The following is a 21,410-nucleotide window of genomic DNA, read 5'->3' on the forward strand; positions in this document are numbered from 1 at the left end:
CCTTTTTGTCAGGAGAGGGTATAATTGATAGTTGTTGTGAGAAAGAATGAGGGGAAAGTTTACAGGATATAAACTTACCACTTAGGTAAGCCATATGTGGAAAAAATTAAGAGCTCACCCTTCTTTCATTTTCTTTTTGCTTTTACTTTTACAAGAGATGAAAGAGTTAATCGTTCCTCTTGGTTTCCAGCTGATGACTGTAATGCCGGGATAAACCAGCTGATTTTTCATGAACTGTATCCAGCCTGCAGATGTGTTATATGTAATCTATGCATTTTTTCCCAAATGAACCAACATTTTAAAAATTGCAAGATTGCACACAGAAACCTAGAATCCTGGCTTCTCTTCAAAAATTATAACTGGCAGTACTGAACTCACAGTTCAAGGAGGTCAGCATTGACTAGCATGGTCGAGCAGCAGCACCCATCTGCTTGAATATTTATGCTTCTCAGGGACACCATCCCTGATTCACCACTGTCTGCCCCACGTATACCATGCATCTGGCCCACTGCACACCCTTCTCATCACCAGAAAACACATTCCCAAATACAGCACCCAAACCTGCCTTCCTGTCAGCTCTCTTTGATACCTAACTGTCTCCATTCCTCCCACTAGTACACCTCTGCGCTCACCTACGATGGGGTGAAGGTGATGGCTGAGGCTTTCCAGAGCCTGCGGAGGCAGAGAATTGATATATCTCGCCGGGGGAATGCTGGGGATTGTCTGGCTAACCCAGCTGTTCCCTGGGGCCAAGGGATCGACATCCAGAGAGCTCTGCAGCAGGTAAGACCACCAATGTTTGCCCCATCTCATAGGAGCCTACTGGGGGATTTCAGCATCAAATTCCAATAAAACACAGCTATTCTAAAGAAAAGGAAGAAAATGCCTGAAGTTCAGAACAACCACTGCATTGTTGGTGTTGGTGGTTCTTAGCATACATTGAAGCTCATATAAAAAAAAAATGATATGGAACAGTCATTTCTTGTAGTGTAAAAGCTGTATTTTCTCCTTAGCAATTTTGCTGAAAAAGGAGAGCTGGTGATTTTCTGTGTATGGGAAAGGGACTTGAAATACACAAGGATGAAACTGAACCATGTTAATGGTCTCCTGGAAACACTCCCCTCTTGCCCTGATTTTCTGGATTTCTTCCTTTGCTCTCTGCACACATTGTATGAGAGCCTGGGGTATGTGGACCCTAAAAATGTTTCTCAGTACTTCTGATACTACCTTCTTGCTTCTCAGCATTTCATTCATCAATTATGTTTGCACTTAAGAATAGTTAAAGGGCAGGGATAGAAAATGGCCACGCCAACTCCAATCAATTGGCTATACAAAAGCTTCTGAGGCTGAATCCAGATACAACAGAGAGAAGCATAAATATTCAATTAGTGATATGTCTGCTGTGGAAGCAGCATGAGACAGTGGTACATGTGGGTGTATATTTAACATGCCTGGTTTAGAAGATTTTGGGGACTTGCCCTCAGCTTTATTGCTCTTGGGGCTCCTGTAGATCTCTAAAGCACCTCAAGCCCAGGCTATGATTCTCAAACTGCCAAGGAATAGCACTATATTTTTGTTCTGATGCCTCCTGCTAGAGAAGCTGTATTTCCGAAGGGACAGGGAGAGGATGGCCGTGCTTGCTGCAAAGGAATAACAAAGCATTGGCCACAATGACAAACCAGCACAGCAAGATTATTTGGCACAAATGTCCCTCAGGACCCACCCTCCCCAACAAATGGAGTTGCCTGCCTAAGACCAGCTTTACTTTTAAGACGACATTCAGCAGAAGATGAATTTGGGCTCCTTGGGGAGAAGAGGAGCATTTCTGAATGAGAGAGAAATGTACAGCAAAATGTACAACTATTCCCACTTGTTTGCCAACCACACGTGCACAGCTCTAGCAACTTTCACAACCAGGAGAAAGAGATGCTGAAGGAACCTCACCAGCTGTTCCTCAGCCCTGATGAGTGCCTTTCTGTAGAGAAGAATATGTAGGTCTGTCCTTTGAAATGAAGCTAAGCAGGATTTCTACTAGCTACATGAGGAACATGCTAAGGAGGACCTCCAGCTGCCATTTCTGCCCTCCCCTGGTCCCTGTGCAGGGTGGCTCCCAAGTCACTAGGCAGCAACAACAGACACCAGGCAGCTTGCAGGGGAAAATTGCCAAATGGACAGTGCCTGCGCCTCCCTTTCTACCCCCACCTCAGCTTATTTAAAATGCTCTTCCAGACTCCACAGTCGAGACAGATTCTGTTTGCAATGTGAGGCTGGTTTCAAAAGGTCCCAGAGATTTGTCCTCAGCTTCACAACCCTTCCAACTCCCTTGCCTCTCCCATCTTAATGACGTCCTGAAAGGATAGTCTGATGCCACCATGACAGTGATGAAGCCTGGGAGGCAGTTCAGGGTGGCAGGAAGGACTCTGTACTGGGAGGCAGGAGAGCTGGACTCCACGTCCAGCTGGGCCCCTGGCTCTCTGGATGACCTTGAAACATTCACTTAGCTCTCCTGCTGCCTTCCCTTTCCTTCCCCATGAAAATGAAGGGGGTGGAGAGAGGACCTCAAGTCTCAACTGGCTCTGAAAATTCAAACAGTCTAATTTTTTTTCTTATGGTCTAACCCATGTCCTTCTGGTTGTAGTGTATACTTAGCACACTGCTTCTGCCCTCAGTAGGGTTTGAAAGGAAGCAGTTTCCATAGTCAAAAGAACAATGACCTCTTTTATTTTGTCTTGGAGCCAAGATATGTGTGTGCCTGCCCTTCATCAGCTGTTCTTTGAGGATCTATGGTGTGCCCTGGCTTGGAGCCAAGCACTGAGGACAATAAAAGAAAGCAAGGCCTGCGCTCAAGGAACTCCTGGCAGTGTCTATGGAGAAAAAGAGAGGAACAACTATCCCAAATAAATAAATAAATAAACAAACAAACAAATAAACCAGAACATTCTGACCTTAAGATCAGAGGTTCAAATCGATTCATTTTCCAATCTTTGTTAAGCACCTAGAATGAAAAAGATTTTGTTGAAAGACACCTTAGAGATTACTGACTCTTCTTTTCCCTCACTTTATAATGAAACAGCAAATCCAGAGTGGGCAGTGACTCACCCAGGGTCACACAGCAGCTTAGTGGCGGAGGCTGGACCAGATCCCAGTCCAGGGCTCCTCTTCCCCCAGTTAGGTCTGTGCTATGGGCCCAGGGGCCCTTGCTTATAAGCATTGACCTCTGGAGCCTTCCATCCATAGTCAGGACTACTCTTCAGCAATGGCTTTTTCTAGACCCATCTCTTGAAATAGCCATGCCACCAGGGAGCTGGGTAAATCCTGATGGTATCCAGTCTTAGAAACCTGAGGCTTGGAGGCTCAGGTCTCTACTGCCTTCACCTCTGGCCTTCAGGTCACATAGTGGGAGAGAACCTGTGGTTTAGCTTGTGTTAGACCTGGGTTGTCTATAAGTTAGGCCAAGAGGTCCAGCACAGCCTACCTGGAGGGCAAGCATGCTAGGGAGTTAAATTCTGAAAATAATATGTATGGTGTGTTAAAGGCTTAGTATACACAAAGCTCTAAACATTTACACATATTATATCATTGGATCTTTGATATAACACCTTGAGGTAGGTAGTTTTATTAACCGTGGTTTGTAAATGGAGAAGCCGAGCTTCAGACAGGTTATAAAACTTCCCAAAGTTATACAGCTAGCTAGTGGTAAAGTTGGGACTCCAAACCACATTTAGATGATGCCTCCCTCTGTATGCTTCACTGCTCTGAAACCTCAAGGGCACGGCCAAACAGGGAAGACACAAGAGCTATGGCCCAGCCCCCAGCAGCACATGGCCTTGGGTAATATCTGTGCACCCCCTCCCCCTTCACTCCGCTGTAATTTCCCTAGCAGCAGAATGAAGATAATCAGCTGCCTGCCTGCCCCCTGCTTGCCATCTAGGGAGTCATTCAGAATATTAATGAACCCACATCCTGGAGGCCCTCAGCACTCCAGGAAGGATGCTCATATGTCGCCTTCTGGACGGTGGAGAAGACTCAACTCCCCAAGTCGGGTTCTTAACATAGGGGAGGTAATAGGCATTTGAGAATATGATTTTTTAAAAGAAATCTGTAGATTCTTTTGCTTAGAAAAATGCATATGTGTACATACATAATTTCTGCATGACCAGGAGTAGAGAGAACATACATACTCCTAGAATCCATCCCAGGGCCTCAAATTTAGAATACCTCCCCTAAATAGTAATCATCCCTCTTGGTCTTTGTTTTTGCAACCTGCCAGCCAACAATCAAGCATATGGAAGTGAAGGTATGCTCAGAACTTTGCTAGATGGGGTCTGGGGTTGGGTGGGCAATGGAGTTTAAGACGCAGTCCTGCCTTTAAGGGCTAACACAGGTGGGCTTATGGTGCTGTGGATGATCAGAGCAGAATGCCATCACTGAGGAATGCAGACATCAGCAAGGCTTTCTGTAGGAATGTGACTGGCCTTTCAATAGGATGACCACTTTATTATCCAAAATCTATCATCCAAACGGGAACACTTAGGAGTGAAAGGAAAAACTACTATCAATTATTCCAGAACAAGAGTACCAGAACTCTCCTGCGTTAGTCCATGTGCATTGTTATAAAGAAATACCTGAAACTGGATAATGTATAAAGAAAAAGGTTTCATTTTAGCTAATAGTTTTGTAGGCTGCACACGAAGTACACTGCCAGCATCTATTTTTGGTGAGGGCCTCAGGAAGCTTCCAATCATGGCAGAGTGTAAAGGAAGAGACAGTATGTCACGTAGTAAGAGAAGGAGCGTGATAGATAAGGGAGGAAGTGACAGGCTCTTTTACACAACCAGCTCTCATGAGAACTGAGTAAGAACTTATTCATTACCATGGGGAGGGCGCCAAGCCATTCAGGAAAGTTCCGCCGCCATGATGCAAAAACCTCCCACCAGGCACCACCTCCAACGTCCAGGGTCATATTTTAACATGAGACTTGGAAGGGACAAATATCCAAACTATATCACGTCCCAGGCAAACTGAGATGGGTGGTAATGGAACCGTTAAATGTATGGTAAATTTGAACATGGAGTAAATTGGGTTTTGGAGGTTCTGGATGGGGATGTCAATGATACCCAGCAAGAGACGAGGTAGGGTGAGGGTACAAGAAAGGACTTGCACATGTCACATTGGCCTGTTAAGGAATTAGGGATAGAAGAGCTGGGTTCCAACCGTGGCTCCACGCAGAACTATCTGGGGGATCTTGGACTAATTGCTTGCCTTTTCCAGATCTGGATTTTTCCTGTCTGCTAAACAGACATAATCCTCCTAGTGCTGCCTCCCTGACTGGCTTGTCACAGGGCTCAGAATTTTAAGAAAGCATCGTGCTTGTGGGCCAAGCATCGTGGTTCATACCTGTAATCCCAGCACTTTGGGAGGCTGAGGTGGGCAGATCACGAGGTAAGGAGTTTGAGACCAACCTGGCCAACATAGTGAAACCCTGTCTCTACTAAAAATACAAAAAGTTAGCGGGATGTGTAGCAGGCACCTGTAATTCCAGCTACCTGGGAGGCTGAGACAGGAGAATCACTTGAACGCAGGAGGCAGAGGTTACAGTGAGCCGAGGTTGTGCCACTGCATACCACACCAGCCTGGGTGACAGTGTGAGACTATGTCAAAAAAAAAAAAAAGCATCATGCATGTGTTTCTTTGAACTTCAGGGAAGCTGCATGAGACAGTCAGAGCCAAGATTATTCTTCCCATGACTCAGGTAGGAAAGTGAAGCTTAGGAGGGTTCTGAGATTTGCTCTGGCCAGAGTACCTAGAATGTGACCCAGCAAGGACCTAGTCTACAGGCCTCACAGCCAGTGAGCATCCAGGAGGAAGGATCCACCTGAGGGCAACTGCAAAGGGGATACAGGAGCCCTGCGTCCAGTTTGACTGCTCGGCTGTCTCCTTCAGGACTGCCTTTCAGGATCCAATGAGGGCAGGGGAGAGCAGTCACTGTTGACACCTGACAAAGATTCTTTGCTTGACCAAACTTTAGTCAGGCTTCTGAACCTTCTCCTAGGCCCATCTGTGCAATTCTTGTGAAATCCAGTTTTGGCAAAGAACTTGCTAAGTCGGTTTAGCAAGAACCCTGTCCACCACGTCCACCCTCTTTGCCATGATCATCTTCTTCAGCCCCCACCATCCCCCAGATTATGTCGGATCATCCTCGTCCATCTTCAGCAAGAATCCTCTTAGGCCATTTTAGCCAGAATTCCTCTTAACCCCGATGCTTGCTGTTAGCAATTTCCTATCCACTGACCCCCACCCTGCTCCTTGGCTATATATTCCCACGGGCCCATGCTCTATTCAGAGTTGAGCCCAATCTCTCTCCACCTCTGCAAGACCCATTGCAGGGGTCTCTATACCTATTGCTACGATTCTGAATAAAGTCTTCTTCACTGTGCTTTAACAAGTGTGCTGATTAATTTTTTCTTTAACACAGCTGAAGTAATAGAGACATTAACCCGCATTCTCTCAGCACCAAGCAGGAAAGGAAATATATGCTTCAGCCTCCCATCAGCAGCAGACTCTGAGCTGGCACCCAGTACCCTTTACAGGAAGCCCAAGGTTAATTCTCCATCTTTCATGGAGGGAGTTGAGGGCGCCAGGATGGCGACAGAAGTTCCGGGAGCAGGAACCAAGAAGAAGTGCCTGGGCTCCATCAATCTGACCTCAGACACCCTGGGATGGGGGGAGAGAGGGATAAGTGCCCAGATCCCAGAGCTCAGACCTGATGGATGGGGACAGTGGTTTCAAGATACACATTTCTGAGAAGCTTCTTCCTCTGTCTCTGAGTCCTGACTCTCCTTGATAAATGGTTTGGGGCTGAGCCATTCTCTTGAACTCTCCTTGCTCTGCCATCATGGAATGGTGTTTCTGGGATGTCTCTTTCGCATTCTCTGATACTTTGTTTTATCTCAGTGCAAGTAAGACTTGGCTTCCCCAACTAGATACTAAGAGCCTTCAGTTACCCTTGACCTCTCAATGACTTACTGTGAATCCTGGAGTCAAGCGCCATCAGCTCTGAGTCTCAATAATCTCATCTGTGAAACAGGCAAAATAACGTCTGCTCTGGCTACTCACTGGGTTTCTGTGAACATGAAATAAGCAGCTTCTTGTGAGATCACCGTGACAGTGCAAGGGGTCCTTGGGTCACTAGAACTGTGCAGGTAGGACCCTTGACCTTATTGGAAACTGAGGAAGGCAGTAAAAGTGTCAGTGACATGATCCTTCTTTCTTCTGAAAGAGTCCCCTTGTCTTAGACAACCTACCAGCCCCAAGGCCTCAATTTTAGATTTTATTTTTCATAACTTTTACCCACTCTACACAGCACAGTAGTAGTAGTCGTCATTATCATCATTATTATCATCTAAATAATATAAACTATGCATTGAAAACTTATGTCCCAGACAATGTGCTAAGTACTTCTTGGAGGAGGAAACTAAGAAGCAGATAGTTTGAGCAAGGAACCTATGGTCATACAGTTAGAATGAGCAGAGCACAACCTGGGAAATGCCCAGCAGCAATAGCAGAAAGCAGGTAGAAAACACTACATTGCACATTTTTGTGTTGTCCTCCTGAAGCCTAGCACAATAGCACTGGCCTGTGTTTCGGCGAACACTTGGTACCTTAAGTGAAGATACCAGAAGTTACCAGAAGCTCCAGATTTTAGACCTGCCTCTGCCACTGGTTAGTCATAAGACTTGAGCAGATCACTTTACTTCCCAGAATTTGGCATCTCCCATGTAAATAAAGATCATAATCTCTAAATGGCATACTTCAGGGGGTTCCTGTGACTAGAGATGAAATAATATGTGTGCAAGTGTGTCATAAACATGAAGTTTTTAGAAAGTAATATTAGTATTAAGTATCACCATTAACAACAATAATAATAACAGCTGGCATTTTTTGAATACTCATCATGCACCAAGCATTGATCAAAAAATATCTCTTTTAATCCTTAGAACAACCTTAAGACATAGTTAACTCTAATTGGTTCCATTAAACAAATGAGAAACTTAGTCATAGAGAGATTATGTACTCTGCCATACTAATATGCCATGCTGATTATTAGTATGAAAATTGAGACTGGGGCTGAAAAGTAGATGCCTGTTTGGATAATTAATGACACTTTCAGTTTGGGCAAATCAGTCTACCAGTCTACCATCTGCACATCTATCCAAGTCTGTTTCTTTGGAATGAGTCACTTACATGGTACCCACCAAACTAACACTATCTTGAACTGGAAATAAGGGAACACTAAAGATTGGCAAGAGATTACTGAGGTGATAAGAAGGTGAAGTTGCTGATGGACTGGAATTGCTCCTTTCTTTTATTCTTTGTAGTAGAATCTGTACTTTGTTTTCTCTCTGAAAAGCAAAGATAGCCCAGACATTTATGGAGCTGGGGATTTCTCCTGATTTCATCTAAGAAAGTAAAGAGCATGTTGTAAAATTTGCTCAGTGCTCTGGGCCTGTTGTGACCTCCTCACTGAGACTTCAAACCAGAAGGTGACAAGAGGGTCAACCTCGAAACAGGAACACACACACATGCACACACACACGCATTCTCTCTCTCACTCTCAAACACACACAACCCCCAACTCTTCTTATACGTTCTAACAACAGAGGAGCTAGCCACTGTCAGAAAAAAATATAAAACTCTGCAAAGCTTCCTTTTAAGCCATTTGAAGGAGGGAAATAAACAGTGCTGGGTCACAGGGTTGGATTTGTATTTGTAACAAGTAGACACCTCACCTCACTGGCCTTAGGCAAGAGGGATCTGAGGACACATGGTGGATCACTATTAGGGAATGTGGTTGCTTGTACCTGAGCTGATGATACACAGCTAGACTCAGACTCAGTTTGAGAGTGGTCTTGGATGACATTTATCAGTCACCTACAGAGCAGCAAGCTCAACCTTAAATATCTTGGATCTCCATGGTCACCATTTGACTTTTGATATGAATTTGAAGATAGAAGGCCATGAAAGTTTGATTTTGCCCATTTGTGGAGAAGTCTCATGCGGCATATTTGAGGGTTCCAATACAATTTTATTTTAGCCAACTGAGATTTCTTTAACACCTTGCATTCTCTTATCTGAACACAATGGGTTCTCCCTAGGTGCTTTGAAGTTTTCACACCACTTTCACATTAGCAGTTATCATTTAAGATAAAAAAAGGGCAGAGATTTTTGGAAACTGAAGGCTTAGAGAGCTAAATTGCCTGAGGGCACTTGGCTATTAAGGATTAAGCTGGGGTTAAATCCAAGTCTTTCAATTGCCAAGTATTTTATTCCCTGGACTCAGGAATAAAGAAGAAATTCTTAAAGGAATTAAGAAGCCATCTCCAAGCATAGCTTAAGGCTTCATTCATAAAGCTGGCTTCTTGTCCTGGGTCTTCTGACTCATTAGTGATGGTGCACCATTTTCTTTCCTTTGCAGGCCCCCCATACTTTCTTCATCTTCAGATGTGTATCTGAGAAGGGCAGTGGTCATAGTGGTTGTGTGATGGGAGGTGTTTGGTTAGGGATGGTGCAGACATTTCACATTAGTATGCACTCTGACCCATTGTTAGTATTTGCCTAAAGAAATAGGTAAAAACAATTGTCAGGATGAATCCCAATTTAGGGAAAAGAGATCTGTAATGCATCCCTTGCCTGTGGCAAGGGAGTGAAGAGTTTTAGCATTCAGGATACTCCAAGACATCATTCCATGGAACACTCTTGGGTTCTGAATTTCTACTTCAGTGGAAAAAGCAAACACACATAAAGTACATCTGAGTTCACTGCCCACCACTTGGTTTTGTTTTCCAGGTGCGATTTGAAGGTTTAACAGGAAACGTGCAGTTTAATGAGAAAGGACGCCGGACCAACTACACGCTCCACGTGATTGAAATGAAACATGACGGCATCCGAAAGGTAAGGTCCCCCTTTACTTCTGTTCTGCAGAGAGAAGAGGCTGAGCAGGGACTCTGGCCAGAGCTGAGGGCCTGTGAGTCCACCTTTTCTGGACTGGATCTTTGAAGAAACTCAGACAACACAGATTCTAGACTTGGCTCTGCCACTAACCAGCTGGGACATTGGGCAAGTCTCGTTCTTCCTCTGAGAATCCATTCATTCATTTGCAAAATTAAGTTTAAAAAAATCTCTACATTTGTCCCAGGATGCTTGTGAAAATCCAAGGTAGAGGAAAGCACTTCTAAAACATAAAGTAATTGATGTGTATAAAATGCCACTCCCATTCCTGAGGGTTTCTAAACTAAGAACTTGAGAATGATGATTATTGATGAGGTTAACTATCTCTTCCTAATCGATAGTTGGTCATATCCACTCTATTATTTATACAAAAGTAAGGGTGAAAATATATATGTTTACATATATGTATAATGTATAATATGTTTGCATATGAAAATTCTTAGAATAGCATTCAAATCCTTGGAATAACATTTCGAATTCTACCAGAACCTATGTGCCCGGGCCTCTGCCGATTTCTTCACCCTTAACCCTTGATACTTCCTTCATCTCTCCACTCCAGTCATTCTGTTTGTCTTTCACCTCCCTGAATACACCATGTTCTTTCTCATCATTGAGCCTTCATACATGTTTCCTCTGCCTGGGACTTCCTCCCCCCATCTCCCTCCTCTTGCCTGCCAATCCCTCCTCAGCCTTCCACACTCAAAGTAAATGTCATTCCCCAACGAAGCCTTCTCTGGCCTTTCTTATTATGCTTCATGGAAGCCTCTACTTCTCTGCTCATGGCCTTCATCACATTGCTAATTCCATTTGGTGGCGTAGCATAATGACTGGGAGGCATTGTACAGCATGGCGTAGAGCTGGTAGGGTGCCATGGATCAGAATGCTGGCTCTGGAATCCTCAACACTGAATCCTGGCTTCACCACTTACTAGTCTGGGGTTCCGGATAATTTATTTGAGCTCTTTGTTCCTTAATTCTCTTATCTAGTAAGTGGGGATCACCTTAACCATGCCAACCTCATAGGGTCATTGAGAGGATTAAATGATCTAAGAGTGTGCAGAAGTTCTAAGTACTGGAACTGGCCCATTGAAAGTTGGGTCTTAATCTCTCAGACTTAATGCTCTCTATGCCTGTGCTGTCAGATAACCTTGCCACTAGCCGTATGTGGCTGTTTAGGTTGAATTTTAAATAAATTCCAATTTAAAAATCAGTTCTTCAGTTGCACTATCTACATGTCAAGTGCTCAGTAGCCACATGTGGCTAGTGGCTACCACATCAGGCAGCACAGATGTAGAACATTTACATCACTGCAGAAAGTTCTACTTTAAAGTTCTCTTTGTCCACTCTCCGTCCTCACCTCCCTTAAACCTGTCTTCTCTGCTCTTATGTCTAGAACCGCATCTTCTACCTCACAGCCAATCTTATCTCATTCATTAAGGCTATGTCAGTTGTCTATTGCTGCTGTACAAATTACCACAAACAGTGACTTAAAACAACACAGATTTATCATCTCACAATTCTGTAGGTCAGAAGTCTGACTTGAGTTTCACTGGACTAAAATCAAAGTGTTGGCAAGGTCATGTTTCTTCCTGGAGGCTCCAGAGTTAAGTTTGTTTCTTTGCCTTTTCCAGTTTCTTAAAGGCCACCTATATTCCTTGGCTCCCATGTTACCAAGCTTTCTCCATATTCAAAACCAGCAATGTTACCTCTCTCTGACCCTTCTTCTATCATCACATCTTCTCGCTAACCACAGCCTTCCAGAGCCCATCTCCCATCTCTGACTGGAAGATCTCCTCCTTCAGGAATCAGCTACAGTAACCTGCCTTGACTTACAGCAGGTACCAAATAAGGGCACCCTATTTGGCTATGAATGTAGCCACTGGGAACGTATCCACTTCTTCAGCAAACTTTTGGCATGTTGATTGTACACAGACACTCTTTCTGGGCTCAAAAACCCTTGAGAATGACATTTATCCAGAAATAGTCCAAGTCTGAGTTCATTTTTGTTGTCCCATGGTCTTCTGATTTTTGCTGCTGGAGAAGACATTTGCTAGGTCACTTAGCTCTTATAACTTTCAATTTCCACATCTGTAAAACGGGCACAGATCATGTCTGCATTAGCGCCTGATCACTGTTCAGTGAATGTTACCTGTGTTAGTGGTTATTAATAGCTATAGTAAATGTTGAAGAGTTAGCACACGGCTGAAATCTGGAAAACACTGAGGTGGCTTGTTTATTTCTTTCAAAGCATTTAGCAGCTACTGTTAAGAGTACTGCCTCTGGAAGGGACACCAAATATGTGACCATCTCCCCAAGGCCATCTTCCTTTCAGATTCTTTTTTTGTTTTTTTGGAGACAGAGCCTTGCTCTGTCGCTCAGACTGGAGTGCAATGGCATGGTCTCGGCTCACTGCAACCTCCACCTCCCGGATTCAAGTGATTCTCCTGCCTCAGCCTCCCGAGTGGTTGGGATTATAGGTGCCCATCACCACACCTGGCTAATTTTTGTATTTTGGGTAGACACGGGGTTTCTCACGACGTTGGCCAGACTGGTCTCAAACTCCTGACCGTGTGATCCATTCACCTCCGCCTCCCAAAGTGCTGAGATTACAGGTATGAGCCACCGCCCCCAGGCTTTTTTTTCTTTCTTTCTTTCTTTTTTGAGGCAGGGTCTCGCTCTCTTGCCCAGGCTGGAGTGCAGTGGTACTATCATAGCTCACTATAACCTCAAACTCCTGGGCTCAAGTGATCCACCCACCTCGGCCTCCCAAAGTGCTGGGATTACAAGCATGAGCCACTGTCCCCAGCCCCTTTCTTTCAGATTCTGAGAACTGCTGGTATCACCTCCTGCCTTGACAATGAAAACATAGATGCAGCATTTTTGTGTAAGGCCCAAGCAGGCAAGCCTATTGCTCCTAGATAGAAAATTGTTGACCATAGACCTGGGCTTTTCCTCAGAATCCTCAGAATGGCCTTTTGCTCTCAGGGAAAAAAGAATATTGCTATTTCCTGGATAGAACAAATTGGCATTTCTACATTGTATATGAGTAGTTATGTGTTTGCCATTATTAAAATATGGATGTCGAACTGTTTTCCCCAACTCTGGAGTAGTGGATTAGCTTAAAATATAGCCAGATTATTTTCTACACGTTAGTGGTCACTGGGTATATTGGGGTTATACTGAAGGTGCAACAAGTAAGAATAGAAGCCAGAGACTTCTATGCCATTTCTGCCATCATCCAGCTGTGTGGCCTTCAGCATGTCTCATAGTCTCTCTGGGTCTCTAAAATAAGTGAGAGACATTGGGCTGTGCAAACCTTAATTCCTCTCAGCTCTGACACCTTGGATGTCAGTGCCATCTGCTGCATTTTTACCATCCTCTCCCTACTCACATTGTTCCTCTCCTGGCTGGACTTCGGCTTCCTCTGTGAAAGTAGAATTTCCACTGGGGCCTTCATCAATTGACAAACTGTCCTTTGGTATGAAATTCCCCAGTTGTTACTCCCAGAACCAGAGGCCCCAGCCCTTTGAGTTGACCCTAACTATTGCCCAGAGACTGTTGGGAGGCTTTTTATCTCTTCAAGACTTGCTCTTCATCAAGAACTTCTCAGAAGTGGAGGCACTGTAGCAAGATTAATGGTTCTCAAGCCTCAGCAAATAGAAGAATTACTGGGAGGCCTTATTTAAAACGCAGATTCCTGGGTCCCAGCCCCTGGGTACTCTGCTTCTGGAGAACAGAGATGAAGCCTAGGAATCTGCACCTTCTTGAATCCTCCTCTCCAACCCACAGATTTTCTGGTTGGTGCGTAAAGAGTTTGATAAGAATCACTGGCAACTACTAAGGAAAGAAGATGGAAGTAAAAGGAATACAAATAATATAATATAATATAATATAATTTATAATATAATTTACAAAAAAAGAAACACTGACAGGGTGGCTAAGAGCTTGGGCTTTAGAGGCAGACAGACCAGGATTTTAAGTCTGCTTTAGTCTTTACTAGGCACATGACCTTGAACACATTATTTAGCCTCCCTGCAAGTCATTACATCATCTCTAAAAGGGTGGTAATACTCTTTGCCTCCCAGGATCACTGTCAGGATTGAATAAGACAATGCCTGTTACACCACTGCTTGTAGTAAGGGATTCGGAAAAGTAGCTCCTGGCACGTAGCGGACATTCAGCCCACATTTGTTTACTTGTTTGTACTTTTAAACTCCCTTCTATAGGCCACAGGGATTTTATATCAGCATTGCATTTGGGGGAGTCAGGCTGTGTAAGCCTGTGGAATGGATAAATCAGCAAAGAGAAATAACAGAGTACCTTAAAATCCATGAGCAAATGGTTGTGCTTTAGTTTTCAGATCCCAGGGCTGTTTTTAAACTTACCTTCCAATGGCCAAATCCTTTCTTAGAATGTGGGCTTAAACGTCCTTTGTTTATGGGGGATCTGCCTTTCAGAAAATCAATTCCTCACATCTGTGGCTTCAGGCTTTTTACTCAATCAGCCTCCTAACAAAGTAATTTTTCTGATTTTCAAGGGTGACCTAGTTGTACTGGTTTCAGTGAGCATTACATGGCCTTACCTGATTGTGTATAGTAAAAAGGAGCTGTTTCTTCCAGATTTGGAGCCTCAGAGAAACTCTCCTGATCTTCAGGCCTATTTCCTGTTCACTCATGTGCCAATATACCCTCTAGGTACCTGGATACAATTTGACATCCCACTGAAATGTGGGTGTTCTAAGCATCCATTCATCATAAAGTTTAGGGGCTTCAGATACCAGGATGGGTACTTGCTCTACTAAAATGGGATCCTTAGGAAATCCCGTTCAAGGATACCACTTCACTATGGGGTACTGATTTAGGGTCTCTCTCTGAATAAAATATCTTGTCAAAATCTGGTAGAATCACAAATTCTGATAAATGGCTGCCCAGTGGAGAAGTTTAGGGAAAATTATCTTACATTTTTCATCGAAGAACTGGTATTGTTGATTTAACCGTCTTTTCCCATCACCATTGTTCCTATAGCAATTTTTAGACTGGGTGGAGGAATCTACTTCTCATTTCAATTCGATTTGAGTGGCCCTGCCCTGCCCCAAGTTTATTATCCCCACTTCTGACCCTGTGTATAACTAGAATGAAAAGACTGGGCAGGAAACAAGACTAAAGGGACACAAAGTCCTGCTGATATCAAAAGTAATCTTCTAAAGTCCCAAAGAATTTATAGCTTGCCATTCCATATGCTTTTTGGAAGTTTTGCTTTAAATCCTTGTTACCCAATTTTGACCATACTGAATCATGTTATAGCATCAGATATAGACATAGCATCTCAGATATAGCCTAAACCTCACCACCTCTCTCCATTTCTACTGCTGAGCCCAGAGCCCAGGCCATCTTCCACACACCACACAGTAGCCTCCTTACCAGTCACGAGTCCTGCTATGTTCTTGCCCCTCTACAAGGCTACTTTTCCACCACAAGACGAGGACAATAATTTTCAAATATATATCAGGTTATATGGCTCCTTTCCTTAAAACTTTTACCACTTTCCTGTTGCCAGTAAATATACAACATGGCCCTCAGAGCCCTCAATGCTGCTTCCCTGTGGCATCAGCTCTCACTCCTCTTTCTCTAGCTCATTTCTCTGCAGTTACACTGGCATCTTTGCATTCCTTGAGCACAGCCTCGCACTTTCCTCAAGTCACTTGCATATGCTATTCCTTTACCTGGCATTTTCTATCACTAGAGTTTCATGTGCTGTGTGCCTCCTTGTCATTCAGGTCTCAGTCCAAGTGAAGCCACCTTGGAAACGACATCCTTGACCAAGCACTTTTAAAGTCACTCCCACTCACCCAGCTCACAGTCACAATTTCCTTTTTATTTGTACTTTTCATGGTGCTTATTCCTTCTGATATATTTTTATTGGTTGATTGATCTAGATTGAGGTTGGCAAACTTCTGCCTACTGGCCAAATTCATCCCACCACCTATTTTTGTACAGCCCATGAGCTAATGGTTACATGTACATTTTTAAATGGTTGTAATAAATCAAAAGAAGACCATTTTGTGACATGTGAAAATTATGAGAGATTAAAATTTCAGTGCCCATAAAGTTTTTCTGGAACATAGCTATGCTCATTTGTTTATATATTATCTATATCTGCCTCTGCATGACAACAACAGAGATAAGTAGTGGCAACACAGACTATATGATCCACAAAGCCAAAGATATCTACCGTCTGGCCCTTTAGGATAAAGCTTGTCAACCCCTGGTCTGGATATGTATTTTCTTCATACTTCTCTACCTCCTAAATGTTCTAAAACGCCAACTCTTTAAAAGCAAGGACCATATTTGTATTTTTATTATATTCACAGTGCCTAGAATATACTGAAACAGAGTAAGCACATACAAATAAAAGGTTGTTTATTACATCACTGGGAAGTTTATCAAATGTTTCTGGGCAATCAGAGAGCACACTATGCTAGCCCATATTTCAAAAGATCTGCCAATAAGTAAGGGAAAAAAATGCCTGCAAATTTAATAAAATAACACCTCAAGCAGAACTCAGATAAAGTTACACATAAACTTATTAACTTCAAATCTTTTAAGTGTGTTAATTTAGATAATCCTAGGTGCTGTAACAGATAAACTCTGAAATCTCAGCTGTTTAATGCAAAAGAAGCTTTTTTTTGTTCACTCAGTGACCACTTTTTTGGCTGAGGGTTCTGGCTAAGACTCAGGCTCATGGACCCTCCACTGTCTACTTGGGTCTTTCTGGATTTCAACATCCAGCTAACAGATAGGAATGAAAGAAAATGGCAACTCTGCTGGAGATTTTTGGGGCATCAGCCTAGAAGAGATGCACATCACTTCTGTTGTATTCCGTTGGCCAGAACCCAGTTACTTGGCTCAATCAGAGGTAAAACAAGCTGGGAAATGTCATTGCTGGCCAGGTAGCCACTCTCCACCAACATCTCTACACCATGGAAGGAAAATAAGAATGCTTGGGAGTCAGCTAATTATCTTGGCCACAATAGACAACTTAGTCTTTAAAAATTGATACTAAAGGATCTTATTTTTTGAGGTAAGGGGCTGTGGTCTCAGAGGCAGCCTGGAGATACCAATTTCTGAATTTGATTTGATGACTGTGCAATATAGATCAATTGAATTTTCAGTTCTATGATCATCTCCTTTTAAGACTTTCTCCACTTAAAAAATCTGATCTGTCATCTAGATTCATTTTCTACATTCAAAGAATCTTTAGAGGTAGATGGAAAACACGGAGATCAAAAATTATAACTGGCCCCAGGAGAAGACCTCTCACTGTCAGAATTGTTTAAATCCTCTCCTGACTGGTAGGCCCCAATCTTTACCAACTACTAACTCTGATTTACTTTTAGAAAGAATCAAAATTCCTGCATATCCTCAGTAGAGAATCAAAGTGCTGTATTATAATCCAACCATTTCCCAAAGAAAGGAAAATTTGCTCTAATCTCCAAAGTGCAATGTCTGTTCAAAAATCTTTGCCAGCTTTCTTTTCATCAAACTGTGGAACCAGATTTCTCAGTCTACTAGTTTACATGAGGCATAGGCATGAGGCTGAGTATCACTCAGCCCACTGACCCTGGCAATATTTTGTTTTATCTCCCTACAAAAGAGTTAGAAATAAAATAGGTTTGTTTACAATTTCTAACTATTCTACTAGCTTTTGATATGAAAGTACCTAGCATATAAGCCAAGCTATACCACATTTTTTTAGAGATCCCAATTTAACAATAGTGCTAAAATTAATAAGTAGTGCTAGCTTTGAAGGACAACTATCCTTAAAAATTAAGGTATCTTTCTAAGCCATATACATCTGGCTTACACAGATTCATCTTGCTTTTTTTTCCTATCTTGTATGAAAACCTTGGGATTTTACGGCAGTTTTATAATTTTTAAACCACATACCCTGAACATTCTATACATAAAGAAGGGTTATATTGTCAAGTGAATTTCAAAATGCTCTATAATGCATGCTTCTTTTGCAGATAATGTTCAACAGCAAATTGAAAACAGAAATGTCTTGTAGTATAGAAACCTGTTAACCTTCAACTAGGCACTACCCTAATGAATATCATTTTTTAGCTTACTGACAATATGAACCATACACTGTGCTAATTGTTTTACATGCATTAACTAATGTAGTTCTCATAGCAGCCCATGAGGCAGGTACCATTGTTACATCCACTCTACAGATCAGGGACTGAGGACCACAGAGGTCAGGTAACTTGCTCAAGCTGATAGTTGGTAATTAGGAAAGCCTAGCTTTTAAACCAGGTCTGGCCTGAGGCCAGAGACCAAGATCTTGACCACTGGGCTCCCTCTTTTTTAAAATAATACATCTTAATACTCAGTGGCTTTTAGAGGAATTGGTTGCATGTCAAAGGAAGCAACTTCCTTTCTACTGATGGTTGTGCAGTTTGAGTAGGAATATTTAAACCTGTGGACTAATTGTGAAGAAGGAAGAAGAAAGACAGGAAGGAAAGGAGGAAGAATAGGAGGAAGGAAGGGAGAAAGGATGGATGACAGGGAAGAAAATGAACAAGAAGGAGGAGAAAGGGAAAAGAAAAAAAAAACCTTAGGACCATCTATGAGGGGATAAATCATATTTGACAGATATTTTCCCAGGTTTGTATTGATTTTATTAAATAATCTTACCTTTGAGGTCCACAAGACCTGGGTTCTATGTTCTGCCACTAATCTACTATATAACCTATTGTTTTGTTAGATCATTTAATCTCCCTAAGCCTAAGTTTTCCTATCTGTAAAGCAGAGAAAATAATCCTAAGCCTGCCTGCACTATCTGCATAGTGTAAAGATGTTATAAAAGTACTGTGGAGATTTAAAAAACAAAACAATACCAAAGGAGAAAACTTTACATCATAATATACTACCAGAGTGCTTTTAAACATCTATTTTTCAGCTAGAAGGCTCCTTGAGAAAGGCAACTCTTGCGGGGAATCCCAATAGGTGAAATAGATAAAAAGCAGAGCTGAGCATTAGAGCAAGGATGAGGAAGCCAGAGCTCTCTCCTCTTCACTGCCCCTCACCACCTTCCATGAGCGGTGAAAGGCCCCACAAGTCTCTTAGGGTTCCCTAGAACACAGTCCTTGCAAAAGCAAGGGAACTGAGACCACACTGTCTTGAGCAAATTCTGTGGTCTCTGCGCCTCTGCTTCTCCCTGTGAAAAAGGAAAAAGTTGGACAAAATGATTCTTCAGTCCCCTTCCAGTTCTGACATTCTAGAAACGTGAGTTTCTGGTTCTTCTGTCATTAGAAAGCAATGTCTCCTTCCACCTTGACTAACAGCATCCCTCACAGGGAACATGGTACACATGCCTGCACTGAGGGTAAGCCTCCATGCAGTATCCTGAGAGACATGCTCCCCGTCAGACCTCCGAGCTGTCTCAGCATCGATAGGGTGCACCATGTCCATGCTGGGTCACTGCTGCCTGGATGCATTCATTCTGTCCACAAACATTTCCTGAGCTGCTTCTCTGGGAAAAGATGTTCTAGACTAAGACAGGAACTCTGGAACAAGTATGTTTATTTCAGTCTTGTCCATGAGAAACTCATAGCACCATGGAGAGATGGGGACAGACACACAAACAGCTAGACCCAGTGTTCTAATGGGAACGTACACAAGGTACTCAGGGTTGTGTCTGGCATGCAGGGGGCACGTCCCTGGAGTTGGTCTCCCTGGCTCATATCCTGGCTCCACGGCTACCCTGTGGCCTTGGGAAAGTTACTTCACTTTCCACGTCTCGCTTTCTGCATACTTAAAATTGAAAGGATAATTAACTACCCACTTCGCAGGTTTTGTGAGGATGAAAGGAGTTAAAACATAAAAAGCACTTTAAAAAGTCCCTGAAATGCAAGCATTCAGTAAATGATAACTAATATGATTTCAAGTCCAGAGCCCAATCCCTTCTTAGGAAGAACAGCATAGTGGCTAAATGCAGCCTCTGGAGAGAGATTGTCAGGGTTCCAGGACAAGCTCAACCACTTTGCAGCTACTTCACCTCGGGCAAGTTAACACACTCCCACAGGCCAGACGAAATGGCATGAAAACTGTTGAACACTTAGCCTCTGACATAGCAAGAGCATCATTAGTGCTGGCAATTATTGTTGTTAATGGCTGCGAGATTACAGGAAAAACTATTTCCAACTGAAGGAACTGGGAAAGACATGAAGGTGAAGGTGACATTTCAGCTGACCATTTGGCAAATGCCTCAGTTTTTGTGAGCCTATGCTGAGTTCTGGCTGTTGATAGACCTGTTCATCCCAATGCATATGCACTTCTAGTTCTCTTTCCTTTTTCCTTTGTATCTAGAGCCAGCAGAATGATCACAAAACAAAACACAATTGTCTAAAGCAAATAGAGATTAGAGACAGAGATAAAGAGAGATAAGTATAGGAGGTATAGCTTTAGGGTGTGTATGTGTGTGTGTGTGTGTGTGTATTAGTCAAGTCATTCTACTGTTTCCAAACTTTCAATGATCCCCTGTTGCCTTGAGGTGTAGTCTACACTGCTTAGCCTGGCCTTCAAAGCCATCTGCTACCTATACCCAGATACCTACTGCCCTTTTGGGCTAACTCTATCTTCCACCCAGGACCCACAGAACTTAAACATCTGGGCAGATTCCTGTCTTCATATCTTGGCTCATATTCTCCCTAACCTGAAAGGTTTTGGTCCAGACCATTCATCTCTCATGATCATAAGCCCTGATTCCTCCTGTTGCATTTTTCCCTGTGTAAGATCCCACACTTGGCTTTTGCTTCTCTGAACTCCTTAGGCCCACTCACTTGTCACTTCTGCGGCCATGTCATGTCTTCCCATGGTAGACCAGAGGCGTTCTCAGAGCAAGCCCTATCTCTCAGACTTCTTTGCATCTCGTCAACCCTGCCTGACAACAAGCAACACTAATGTTTTAGCTCAGAGCCTTGTGCACAATAGCAGTTCAATTAATATTTCTTGAAAGACCTTGGAAAATGAATTAGTATAAATAACCTACTCAAATTTGAAAAATTAATATTGTCAACCATAATTTTTAGACACTCCTATATATTCAATATTGTAATAGTTTATACTTGGAGACAGAAGAAATTTTTAAAAATAAAGGATAAACAACCATCATAGGAAGTTAAATCTAGATGGAAAAATACAGTTAACCTAAAAATAAAGTAAAAGAATGTAATGTTTAAATCATATGATTCCAACTATAGTTCAGAATGAGTTCACTGAAGTGCAGGGTTAGTAGACATGGGGGAAAGAGGGGTTTGACCCTGTGAACAACTGCAGGGAATTAAATCCCATGGTCCTGGCTTGCATTGTACAAAACAGACTGGCTGTGTAAACAGTTAAG

At 42.8% G+C, this 21,410-nt stretch overlaps 1 protein-coding gene across 14 annotated transcripts in view; it reads left to right on the top strand.

Annotated features, from left to right (window-relative positions):
• Window positions 1-21,410, top strand: part of GRIA1 (glutamate ionotropic receptor AMPA type subunit 1) — a 324,255-nt gene that overhangs the window by 186,764 nt on the left and 116,081 nt on the right. For 13 of the 14 annotated variants that reach the window (NR_157093.2, NR_047578.2, XM_047417128.1 and 10 more), the window contains 2 exons: window positions 616-783; window positions 9,847-9,951. Coding sequence is in view for 12 of the 14 variants with exons in the window: in XM_047417128.1 (XP_047273084.1) it covers window positions 616-783; window positions 9,847-9,951 (273 nt within the window). In the remaining 2 variants the exon portion in view is untranslated. The remainder of the gene's footprint in view (window positions 1-615; window positions 784-9,846; window positions 9,952-21,410) is intronic. The other variant, NM_001364165.2, reaches the window with a different exon arrangement.

This window comes from Homo sapiens, chromosome 5 (assembly GCF_000001405.40).
Source record: "Homo sapiens chromosome 5, GRCh38.p14 Primary Assembly".
Lineage (NCBI taxonomy): Eukaryota > Metazoa > Chordata > Mammalia > Primates > Hominidae > Homo > Homo sapiens.